General features: G+C 37.7%; 1 protein-coding gene across 1 annotated transcript in view, besides 1 other annotated feature; it reads left to right on the top strand.

Moving 5' to 3' along the window:
- CTSC (cathepsin C) overlaps positions 1–7,980 on the top strand; it is a 44,145-nt gene extending 36,165 nt beyond the window's left edge. Inside the window, exons 5-7 of the mRNA NM_001814.6 lie at positions 927–1,042; positions 5,308–5,439; positions 7,064–7,980. Of these exons, the coding sequence (NP_001805.4) occupies positions 927–1,042; positions 5,308–5,439; positions 7,064–7,566 (751 nt within the window). The 3' untranslated portion in view covers positions 7,567–7,980. The remainder of the gene's footprint in view (positions 1–926; positions 1,043–5,307; positions 5,440–7,063) is intronic.
- Positions 3,497–4,190: an enhancer, noted in NCBI's record as "OCT4-NANOG hESC enhancer chr11:88030550-88031243 (GRCh37/hg19 assembly coordinates)". NCBI's record gives its function as "activates a minimal SCP1, AML or CMV promoter by ChIP-STARR-seq in naive and primed H9 embryonic stem cells {active_cell/tissue: H9 hESC(naive and primed)}" and the evidence as "EXISTENCE:reporter gene assay evidence [ECO:0000049][PMID:30033119]".

The raw sequence follows: 12,725 nt of genomic DNA, 5'->3' as shown, positions 1-12,725 counted from the left end.
GGTGTCCAGGTTCTTGGCTTCTTGAACAAAGAATTGGACAAAACTCACAAATGAGGCAAGGAAAGAATGAAGCAACAAAAGCGGAGATTTATTGAAAATGAAAGCACACTCCACAGGATGGGAGTGGGCCTAAGTAAATGATTCAAGGCCCTGGTTACAGAATTTTCTGGGGTTTCAATACCGTCTAGAGGTTTCCCATTGGTTACCTGGTGTATGCCTTATGTAAATGAAGAGGGTGGAGTTAAGTTACAAAGTCATTTACTCAGTATAGGCCTTGTGTTAATGGAGAGGGTGTTACTCCTGGGGGTTGTGGCCCATGTAAACGGAGAGGATGAAGTGAAGTGACAAAGCCCTTCGCATTCCTGCCATTGCTGAAGTGTTTCCACTTTATTTAGTTCTAGGAAGTCAGTGTGAATTGGCCTTATGTTCCCTGCCTCCAGAACCTGTTCTCCTGCCTCACATAGACCCTTTTTTCCCTTTGCCAACTTCACTTCTTTTACAGCCACCTCACTACCAATGTGTCTGTCTCCTAAGTCAAACATCAGTGATTCCTCTGTTTTCTCTAAACCCTTCTTATGTCTTCTACTTCTCATCTCTTTCTTGGTCAAAAATCTTTCAAAAATGAGTAAGAATGCAGCTATTCAGGCAAACTAAAAATAACATCACAGTGATATACAAAACCAGTGTCATTTCACAAAGGAAAATTATCAATACTAGATCCTGAAAAAGAAACAGCGAATGAAAGCCATTTACACAACTCCATTGTGTAATTGACACATTGAATCACTCATAAAACAGGTGCTCTGGGTCTGAATCTAGATCCTAGCTAGTCTGGTAGCTGAAATCATAGAATTATAGTAGAGTTTAGGAAATCATCCTCAAAGGAAAGATTATATGTTGATATCAAATGTATATTTCCTTTCTAGGCCCAAACCTGCACCACTGACTGCTGAAATACAGCAAAAGATTTTGCATTTGCCAACATCTTGGGACTGGAGAAATGTTCATGGTATCAATTTTGTCAGTCCTGTTCGAAACCAAGGTAAAAAAATAAGCCTAAGTTTTTTGTTAATTTGTTTGGAACTATTTATTGAACAGTTGCTCTGTGTGATGGATTTCGGGGATACCTAGATGGAATGGGCATGATCCCCTTTTTACAGAAATAGAAAATAGGTGGCCTATGAATTATTCTTTCCTTTTATATCCATGACAAACTTTAGTAAAAAATTTTCTTTTCTACTGAGCTTAGCATTTATTCAGTACTCTTCTCAATATATTTTCCAGGTAGCTAGTGACAATCAGAGTGATATGTAAGACAAACTCATTTGTCCTCCTAGTAGGAAAGATTCTAGTAGAAGCAAAGAATTGTGTACCATTCTGCAAGTGGTTTGTTGGAATCTTTCTTTGATACCTGTTCCTGTATTCCCCCACCCCCATTAATTTAGTCATTAATTACTACATGAACCCGTAAAATAAATCCTTAAATTATTTTCCTGGTAGATTTTTTGAGCTGTGTAAGGACCTTTCAATTCACTTTACATTAGAATACGATATGTGATGGTAAGTATTAACCCAGCTTCCTGAGTGATGGCGTGAGGGCGGAACCCAGGTTCATGAAAAGTATTCCTATTATTGAATTTTACCAGTTATTTTCAGAAGTTTGATACAATGTGAGTTGATTTCATAACATGTCCTCTAACTGCACTTGATAGCAAATTATCTTGTTATCCTGAGTTGTAGCCAACAATGACTTGGAGAATCTATGCAATACTCAGTTTTATTACTTCTAAGCTCATTTTGAAGATAATACTACCCATGGCTGATTTGTTACTATAAAATAGGTTTAGTATTTGCTGTCTGGAAACATTCTGATTAGTGTCTCCTGGGAGGATTATAAATTTATAGTACCCAAAGATAAACTGTTGTTTCCCTTTCCTAAACTTTTAGTGATAATCAGTCTCTGCCGTGTCTCATTTTCATCACTTGCCCTCCAAGCTCCCATCTCACTGAATTCTTGCAGTGTTCTGAATGTTGAGAGCCCCAAGTGGGTCTTATAACAGCCAGTCAGCAACATTTCTGTTTTTCATCTGACACCAAGGGTCTCGTCTCTTTGCTTTTCTACCAGTTATTCTGGGCTCTTCAGCTCTAAAGAAAGTATAGGTCCTGAAATCTTTCCCTACCTTCTCAATTTCCTGGGGAGGGCTTCTTTGGAAAGTGGGATTGGAAATAAGATAAATTTGAAGATAATTGAGAAATGAATGGAAAGTGAAATTGAAGGGTCCATGTTAAGAGATTGCAAGTTATGCTATCACCAAATAGATTTTTTGTGCCTGAGAGGATTAATTCATAGTGCATATTATGTGTTGACTTTATCATTGAGGTCCTGGCACATGATAGCATTGGCATGATATAATTTGAGCTACTGATACTATAGTGTTGCTTCTGGTGTTGTTACCAGAACATCTAAAATATATTAGGATTTTTTTAATGGCAGAGGAAATGAAGACTAATATGACATAGTCCTTGTCCTAGTGATTTACAGTTTAGCAAGACATACAAGCAAAACATTAAAGTAAAGCATGATAACTACTTTAATAAAGCATTTTTTAAATTCATTGGTAACATAAGAGAAGGTAGAAGAGTTTAGCAAACCCTTCCCAAAAGAAATGATTGACAAGTTATATGAGATAATAATTCAGGGAAAGGAAATTCGACTTTCTAAAGCCAAATTATTTGACATTGGTTTTCATATAGCTTGGTAAAAGCTGTTATTTTCTCCCATGTTCTTTATTCTTTGACTGTTATAAGTATGATTTGTACAGAGAAATGGCAATTTCAAAACAGAGGGCTTTGATGGATTAATTGCTTTGAATTGATCCCTCATCTACAGTATCTTGTCAGGTACTTGAGAAAATAATGTACTTAAAGTTTCCTCTTTTGACTTTCTTTTGGTATTCTATACTGTAAGTTGGGGAAAAAAGTATTTTCTCTTCCTGCTAATTGGGCTACTTGAAAATTCCCACCAACTTTGCCAATACCAGTGTTCTGTATAACCCAGAATTCAGAATTAGCTGCAATTAAGGGAATTCACAGCTTTTCTGTAGTCAGAGAGCAAATTGAAATTAAAGAAAAAAGAAATAGTGGGAGGACAAATGAGGTTTTACCTTTACACTTGAAAACAGATTTAAGAACAAGCCTTATACCTAGATTTATTAATACTTTGAGGTATGAGAGGGAAGAGAAGCTTAGAAATACGGCAGAATGGGCTTTCTTTGTTCTTCTCCCAGCTATGCTGTTTTTATTTATTATTGTATTTTTAAGAGAGAAGGGAAGTGTCTCTCCTGGGTCACATTAATTAGGAAATACAGAGTGTTTTCATAATGCGTAAAGTCTAGTCCATTTAAGTCTTGTTTCAAAATGCTATTTATATTATTTGAGCAGGAAGGCAGAGACCTTAAACTGCTCCACCCAATTCATTTTACACAAAAGATTAAAAAGAAAAAAACAGTGTCAAAAGGTCAAGTGCCCAGTGTTGCACAACTAATGATAGGCAAAACAAGAGAGGAGGGGAAAAAAAAGAATCCTGACTCCCGACTCCTAGTTCAGTGTGTTCTTCACTGTTAGAAGGTGCTGCTGAACATAGTTATACCATATGAAGATCACACTATCTATTTGAGATTGTAGAAATTTGATTACTGCAGAGCTCTGGCTGGGCTAGATTCACTTCTTATTCTTTATTGCATTGCAGTATTCTTAAGAGATAAATGGCTCTTTTAGAATCAGATTGGCCTTGGCTGTTGAAATGAGGCATTAATTACCTTGGTAGCTGACACATTCTTACAGGTCAGGGGCTTGATGAAGTTTATCTTCTTCCCTTGTTCCTGTGATTGCTCTGTAAATAGAACACATTCAGAGCCCTTGAATGCACTTGCAGCCTGTGCCTCCCACAGTGATCGATGGTCAGATAATGGGAGTTTAATGACCAGTACTGAGAGAGATTATTTCCATGGCTGCTATGGGCCAAGAAAGCTGGGTGGTCAGAAAGGGACCTTTTCCAGACTCTCCTGGGTTGTGTTATTTCTTTGACATTGGTTTCCTTTCATGAGGCGCCAAGGTGTATTTGTAAGTTGTCCAGTGTTGCACAGCTAATGAGGGGCAAAACAAGAAAGGAGGAAAAAAAAAGTATCCTCACTCCTAGTTCAGTGTGTTCTTCACTGTTGGAAGGTACTGCTGAACACAGTTATATGTTCAGTGTACAATGTACAATGTTCTTTGACATTCCGTCATTTGAAGGATGGGTCCTATGGATAGTATCATCTGCATGGTTTTGAAAACAAAAGATATAAGCTAATTTTGCCCTGTCTAGTGACTACGAGACAGGGAGAGAAAATCTGAATATTTGTTAAAGTAGACACAGACCCATAAATTGAAAAGGACACTAATCCTGCCTTAGGAGACAGTAAGGCACTTGTCCCTGCTATCTATTAGCTGTGTGTCCTTGGACAGCTCATTGCTTCTTTCTGAGCCACCGTTACACGTTATCTATCAAGTGAGCAGGTTGTACACTAGATGAATTCACAGGTCCTTCTTCCAAGTGCTTTTCTAATCTTCATAATTTAGATAATCTCTCAGTAGCAAAACAGTGTACAATATGGTCAATCTGAGATTTTTAGGGGGAGAATTTTAGGGAACATCAGAAATGGCAGTAGTTAAAAGGAAATAGGACTCACAGGCTGACTTCTCTCTATAACTTCACATGGTAGAAGGGATGAGAGTTCTCTCTGGAGCCTTTTGTATTAGGTCACTAATCCCAAAGGCCCCACCTCCTAAGACCATCACTTTTGGGATTGGGGTTTTAACATGATTTTAGAGGGACATAAACCTTCATCTCATTGCATTAGAGATATTTGAAAGCTCAGCTCACGTGTATTCCTCCACAGCTCACATGTATTCCTCCATCACCCAACCTGATGGCTTTGAACGTTGTAGACATAAATCCTTTCATCATTATCAAGAATATTGCCAAAAGCTTCTCAGAAATTATGAGGGGTTTTTTTAGTTTCTAAAATATTCTCAAAGAAAGTCCCATGTACTAATGTTTGCCTTTTGATGAAAAAGGATGAAATCTTAATGATTGCCTTAATAAGCTCAACAATGCTTGTTAGTTGAGTCTTCTTATTGTGCTGATTCTTATAAACAACAACATTCAGTATAAACATTAATGTATGTGATTCACTAAGGTTTTTGCATGATTCTCTGTGAGGCTTCAGATGTCTCTTGGATTATGTGTCTTTTTTTCATCGCCAGCATCCTGTGGCAGCTGCTACTCATTTGCTTCTATGGGTATGCTAGAAGCGAGAATCCGTATACTAACCAACAATTCTCAGACCCCAATCCTAAGCCCTCAGGAGGTTGTGTCTTGTAGCCAGTATGCTCAAGGTAAGTGTTGCATTTCAGACACCATTTATGAGCTATTTACCTGTGTGCAGCTGGCTGTTGTTGGCAAAGGCAAAAGGATGATGCAGTAGAGAGAGCGCAGTGTCTATAGTCAGAAAATCTGAGTGCAAGTCTGGCCCTATCACTTATTAATGGATGATTGCTCATGGAATTTACTGTACCATCCAGCAAAATGTCAATAGTTACTATATATTGAGTGAGCTCTGCTTGTTACATATATTGCCTAACAATGCTCAAAACTCTGAGAAGTAGTAAGTATAATCCCTATTTATGGGCGGGGAACAGGAACTAAGAAATTTTTCTAATAATTTGAAGGTCTCACAGCTTTTAGCATTGGAGTTTCACTTCTAATCATCGTCTCCAAAACCCAACTTTTATTAAAACTATACTAACACTGGTTTCTCTCTGGGAGAATTTTAAAATTCTGTACTTAGGGCTGGGCACAGTGGCTTATGCCTATAACCCTATCACTTTGGGAGGCTGAGATGGGTGAATCTCTTGAGTCCTAGAGTTTGAGACCAGCCTGGGCAACACGGCGAAACCCCTTCTCTATTAAAAATACAAAAAATTAGCTGGGCGTGGTGGTGTGTGCTTGTAGTCCCAGCTATTCAGGAGGCGGAGGTGTAAGAATCACCTGAGCCCAGGAGGTCAAGGCTGCAGTGAGCCGATATCATGCCACTGCACTCCAGCCTGGGCAAACGGAGTGAGGCCCTGTTATGAAAAAAAAAAAATCTGTACTTAGGCTTTCAGATCAGGCTGTATGTGATGTATGTCGAAAACACAGCTATAATTGATTGAGGGAGAAACGTTACCATTTTAAAGTTTATGCTTTCAAGCCCAGATTTGGCCACTAGGAATTTCCCAGCTCACTAGTGAAACTGCTGATGAGTGATTATTTGCCAGTGAGCCTTTCATTCTTTCTAAAATATGTACTACTAGTTGTGACTTGTAGGCTATAGGGGCTATAATATATCAAGACAATCTTTATCCTCATGAAGCTTACAGTTAAGTAAGAGATAGAGATTAAATAATTATAACAACAGAGTGAAGAACAGTGAAGAAAAAGTACAGAGTTATAATATATATAATAGGGCCAGGACTGCATGAGGAAGGTAGGAAAGACATTTCGGCAAGAGGTTGTCAGGGAAAAGACTTGCTTGAGAAAGAGCCAAGTTGTGGGGTCTGGCTGCTTAGCAATGACCATAATACCTAACTTTTGCTATTTTTACATGAAGTAACTAATTTAACCCTATGAGGAAAGTACTACTACCATCTAGATTTTACAGGTAAGTAAGCAGAGATACAGAGAAGTTAAACTCTTCACACGGCTTTGGCTTTAAACCTATATAGGCTTCAGAGCCTCCCCACTTAACCACTTTGCCATAGCTACATCCATATTAGGTGCTAAGTAGATATCTGTTAAGTAGAAGGAGGATGAAAGGATAGTTAGCTAGTTGGAAAATGGATGGATGAATGAAGTGATGCTTAAGCTAAGAACAACTTTCAGGGGTAACATGCAAAGAATAATGGAGCAAAGAAGAAAAAATAGAAAATGGGATAATCCTTTTTCTACTAAGGGGTAACCATGTGTGTTATTCATCTTCAGGCTGTGAAGGCGGCTTCCCATACCTTATTGCAGGAAAGTACGCCCAAGATTTTGGGCTGGTGGAAGAAGCTTGCTTCCCCTACACAGGCACTGATTCTCCATGCAAAATGAAGGAAGACTGCTTTCGTTATTACTCCTCTGAGTACCACTATGTAGGAGGTTTCTATGGAGGCTGCAATGAAGCCCTGATGAAGCTTGAGTTGGTCCATCATGGGCCCATGGCAGTTGCTTTTGAAGTATATGATGACTTCCTCCACTACAAAAAGGGGATCTACCACCACACTGGTCTAAGAGACCCTTTCAACCCCTTTGAGCTGACTAATCATGCTGTTCTGCTTGTGGGCTATGGCACTGACTCAGCCTCTGGGATGGATTACTGGATTGTTAAAAACAGCTGGGGCACCGGCTGGGGTGAGAATGGCTACTTCCGGATCCGCAGAGGAACTGATGAGTGTGCAATTGAGAGCATAGCAGTGGCAGCCACACCAATTCCTAAATTGTAGGGTATGCCTTCCAGTATTTCATAATGATCTGCATCAGTTGTAAAGGGGAATTGGTATATTCACAGACTGTAGACTTTCAGCAGCAATCTCAGAAGCTTACAAATAGATTTCCATGAAGATATTTGTCTTCAGAATTAAAACTGCCCTTAATTTTAATATACCTTTCAATCGGCCACTGGCCATTTTTTTCTAAGTATTCAATTAAGTGGGAATTTTCTGGAAGATGGTCAGCTATGAAGTAATAGAGTTTGCTTAATCATTTGTAATTCAAACATGCTATATTTTTTAAAATCAATGTGAAAACATAGACTTATTTTTAAATTGTACCAATCACAAGAAAATAATGGCAATAATTATCAAAACTTTTAAAATAGATGCTCATATTTTTAAAATAAAGTTTTAAAAATAACTGCATTATGGAGTTTATGTTTACTTCAGGGAATTTTTATCACTGACTCAGTAAGATTCACTTATGTTACCTATGTAAGCATTTATTTAAGAAGGAAAAGCATTTGAAGATATTTCAATTAAAAACAAAACTATGAACCTTTATGACAGGGAGATATACTCAGATAATGCCTAGTGAATCCTAAAATTATCCTTGGATGTTTGATGAGTCTGAGACCTCAGAGAAAAGAAATAAGAGTTTTGACAAAATCTGGATATTGGTGAATTTATTTTCTATGGTGTGTATCTTGTATTTGGGAGTATTGCTTAGTCTTCAGTAGGTGAGCAATAATAGCTTAATGAGTGAAATACTAGCAGCTTAGATTTAAATAGATTTTTGGAATCTCCCAGAGATATTTCACAGTGGATATGAAACCTCTATGCTAAGTAACATATGCCTTCTCTTAGAAATTATGTAACAGGAGAATAAGGCAGTCAGAGCTCTGAAACATAAACACGGACCACAGCCTTTTCAAGCTGGAAAGGACCATAAAGATCATGTAATTTAAACTCTTTGCACAGATAGAGACTCAACTTAGAGGGCAAGAGATGTGTCCAAGGTCACACAGCTGGCAAGTGATGGAGTCATGCTTAAAACTTAGATCTTCGAAACCGAGTTCTCTTTGAGCACCTTCGAGCACTGAATCTCAGCATTTCCCACCAGAGTATCTGCAATCACCAGGGATACTAGCTGCATGCTTGGAAATTTCACCTTAACATTCTGAGTTTCAGAGTTTTGTGCAAAACCCACGTATTTTCTGCATTAAAATTCACTATAATGATGTTTTTACCCTCCTTGAACTGCAGTAGGGCTCCAGGAGTATGCACCATTTAAAGTTTGGCTTCCTGGACCTCCTGGCATGCTGCCACATACCTTTGATCTTTTCACCACATGGTGGCACAGAAACAGCACTGGAAGGCATAGCCAGGGTCGGAATCATTGGAAGGCCTCCAAGGAGATGAGATACATTTTCTTTTTATTGTTACTGATTGAATGTAATTTCCATCCTATTTTGTGCCCAGCCTCACTGCTATGTGAACATATAAACAGACCTTTGAAATCAAGCATAAGTTTTTTTTCACTAAAATTCATGAAGATACTATCTGTCAGTTTAACAAACACAATTCTATTTAACATGTAAGCATGAATTTATTCTCTAGTTTTCCAGTTGGACAGCAGTCGGCTGACACATGAGAACAACTCATCATGATGTAGAGTGCCTGTGATTTTGCACTATTTCATGAGGGCCCTGACTGGCTCTTAAGTAAATTCATTGCTGGTGTCATTCATTAAATACTTTAGGAAATATTAAATGGCTAAATACTGGTGTGAACCTAACTGGCATGGAAGTCAGATTATACAACATGTTTGCTTGAGGACAAGCAATGATTTGAAGAGGCCCTAAGTTTTCAGAGATTATGAGGGATTGCCCAGAATAAGAACTTAAGATAGACTACATTTCAACTTGGATTTATCTACTGTCGAAGTCTGCTTTTCCTGTTTCTGTATGACAGAAAGATCATTTATATCATCCATGTTGCAGATTTCATCAAATACAGTGACTAAATGGAACATTAGGGTTCCACAAACCATGCGATTAGACTGTTAAGCTGTACAAAAAGCAGTTGGTGTCAGTATCTAGAACTTTTTATATTGATGCTAATAGAACACATACTCGGAGTCTTTTAACAAATGGAGCTCTAGAAAAAAAAATCAGATGGGAACTCTGGCTAACCTCCCCAAAGACATTCCCAGAAAATCTACAAGGATTATCTACATAAATGATGCCACAGGTCACAAAGAAGAAAAATAATATTTAGCTGGGCAGTCTAACACAAGCATAATATTGACTCTGGAGCTGTAGTGCCTGGATAAGAGTTTTGACTCTGTATCTTATTAGCCATGAAACCTTAGGCAGTTTCCTTATCTACCTATGCACTGTGCATCCTTTCTTTCTTTCTTTCTTTCTTTCTTTCTTTCTTTCTTTCATCTCTCTCTCTCCTTCCTTCCTTCCTCCTTCCTCCTTCCCTCCCTCCCTCCCTCTTCTTTTCTTGTCTTTCTTTACTTTTTCTTTTTTCTTTTCCTTCCTTTTCCTTCCTTCTTCCTTCTTCCTTCCTTCTTCCTCCTTCCTTCCTTCCTTCTCCTTCCTTCCTTCTTCCTTCTCCTTCCTTCCTTTTTCCTTCTCCTTCCTTCTTCCTTCTCCTTCCTTCTTCCTTCTCCTTCCTTCCTTCCTTTTCTTTTCTTTCTTTTCTGTAAAAGTAGAGAAAATGGCATAGATATCTCTCTCACTGTCCGAATTTCTGACTTTTTTTTTGAGTCATGCTCACTGCAGCCTCAACCTCTTGGGACCAAGCCATCCTCCCACCTCAGCCTCCTGTGTACCTGGGACCACAGGTGCATGCCACCATACCCGGCTAATGAATTTGTCCTCTCTGAACCATTACCATTGCAACAAAGGAACTAAATGTATTTGTATTTGCATTTTTAACAGCATTACTTGCTATCTAAACTCAGGCCCTTCATCATTCCAAATGGAGGTGCTAAAGATAATTAAAGACAATGCAGTTTCCCTGATCATAAAAACTTGCTCACAGAACTCAGGAACTGAATAGATTTGGATAGTAAGGAATATGTATACATATTTCATAGAGTTCTCTGAGGGTTAAATGCCATATATATATATATATATATATATATATATATATATATATATGAAGTATATAGAACAGTGCTTAGCATATGGTAAGGAGTAAATAAATATTATCTTTTTCTGAACTCAAATTGTAAAATAATATTTTGCTATGAGGAATCAGATAAGATGTATTCTATAAATAAGCTCTATGACAAGAGGATAGAGAAGGGCTTATGAGGGGTTTTTTGTTTGTTTTTTTAAGGGCGAAAAGAACCTACAGAGGAACACTAGCACAAGGAAACGCACAGAGAAAAGCAAAAAGCTTTATGAGTTAGGCATATGGTTTTAATTTTATTTTTTACTATAAAATTTTTTTATCCCTCACTACCACCATTCTTGTGTTGCTGCCTGTGGGAAGAGAACAAGTCTGAGAGGTGATGGAGTTTGAGAGACTACCACAGGGATGAGTAACAGGACCCAGCCAGGGAAAAGACATTGCAACTTTGAAGTGAAAAAGACTGAAGGTAATGTAAAGTCATAATAATTTGATTTTCCTATTCAGGTTCTAAAAGCATGAAGATAAAGTAAGCATAACAGATTCACATCACATTAATGCTGGAAGGTTATCTAGTCCACCTCTTGCTAAAAATGGGCCTTGAGAGGTGAAGTAACATGCCTGAGCTTCCAGCTAATAAAGATAAATCTATGCTTCAATATGTCCAGAACTTTCTATTGTACCTGCTGCCTTCCAATTAAGAAAAATGGCAAAATAATGTTTCCATTCTTAAATGTTGTGAGACCAGTAACCTCACCTTGTTCTTTAAAATCATTTCCAAGATTTGTGCCACCTCCCAGAAATCCTGTTCTCATTTCTTTGGGGCAGGTACTCTGAGTGCCAATCCATGTGTGGTGGTTTGGAAAGATTAATATAACAGTTTTCTTCTAAATATAGTGATGTTAATATAGTTATATCTCTTAACTCTAATGAAGGTTTATTTTTGGTTTAAAGCTAAGTAGAATCTTCCTGACCAAGTTTGGGGAGCTTTAGATATATCAGAATCTTCTTTGATGGGCAGCACATGGACTTAGAATTGTGTATTGGTAGTGGGTCAGTTAGTCACTGGGCCTAATGAAATATTAACTGTAAAGTATTGACCTCATTGAATTTTAGTTCCGATTAAAAGTGCAAATTTGCGTGAAATTGCCTGGGACATAAAATAATTGGAACTTCAGCAGACTTTCTGGTCATGCCATACTATGTCCTCCTAGTGATAGGAAACTGGAAATTCAGGAGATAAACTAACTCAGGCAGAAAATGCAGCACATGCCTTTTGTGTGTGTGTTTTTCCTTTTTCCTTTGAGAAGTCCATTTTTCAATATCCCTTTTCTTTAAATCTCTTTTAAGAGTTAGTAGAAGAAATTTAACCTCTTCTTTTCCAACTTTGAGGATGTGATGCTGATGTAATACTTTGGTTTTTAACTTTATGTTCTTAAAGACAATTTGTCTTCTTGAAATTCAAGTCTGTAGGTGGTTAAATGGGGAAAGAATGTGATAAACTTCAGACTCCCCAAGTTGAGAAAAAAATAGCAGACTTCTTTCTTCCTCTAATGCAAAAGGTCTTAAAGAGATTGAAATCCTAGCAATCAATTGAAAGAAATAAGTTAGAGAAATAGCTTTCTCCTGAGGAAATGAGGGAAACGCCATAAAACTAAGCGTTGTGCATTAAAGTAATCATTGAGATGATTTTTTTTTTCTGTAATGTATTTTCTGGACCTTCAAAAGTATTGAATAGTTTCACTGTAGTTTAAGATAAATGACAGAAAATAAGTGCTTTTAGTATCAGATTTTTATACCTTCATTCTCTCTTTTTGGGGGTTTCTGAAGAACTAAAAGTCTGCTTTTCTTTTAGATTGACTATTTCTATGCCACTATAAGAAATGGGCACTATTCCCAAGAGATAGCAGGTGCAATCCTAGTTCAGCAGGCTAAAATTCAGTTGGGTGAGAAGGATAAGCCTATGGAAAGAAAGTAAACAAAACAGCATTGTGCCACTAGAGAACCCAGAAATAAATTCATAG

The sequence above is a fragment of the Homo sapiens genome, chromosome 11 (assembly GCF_000001405.40).
Source record: "Homo sapiens chromosome 11, GRCh38.p14 Primary Assembly".
In the NCBI taxonomy this organism is placed as follows: Eukaryota; Metazoa; Chordata; class Mammalia; order Primates; family Hominidae; genus Homo; species Homo sapiens.
Note: the sequence above shows the minus strand (reverse complement) of the source record. Positions and strands in the feature narration are given on the sequence as shown.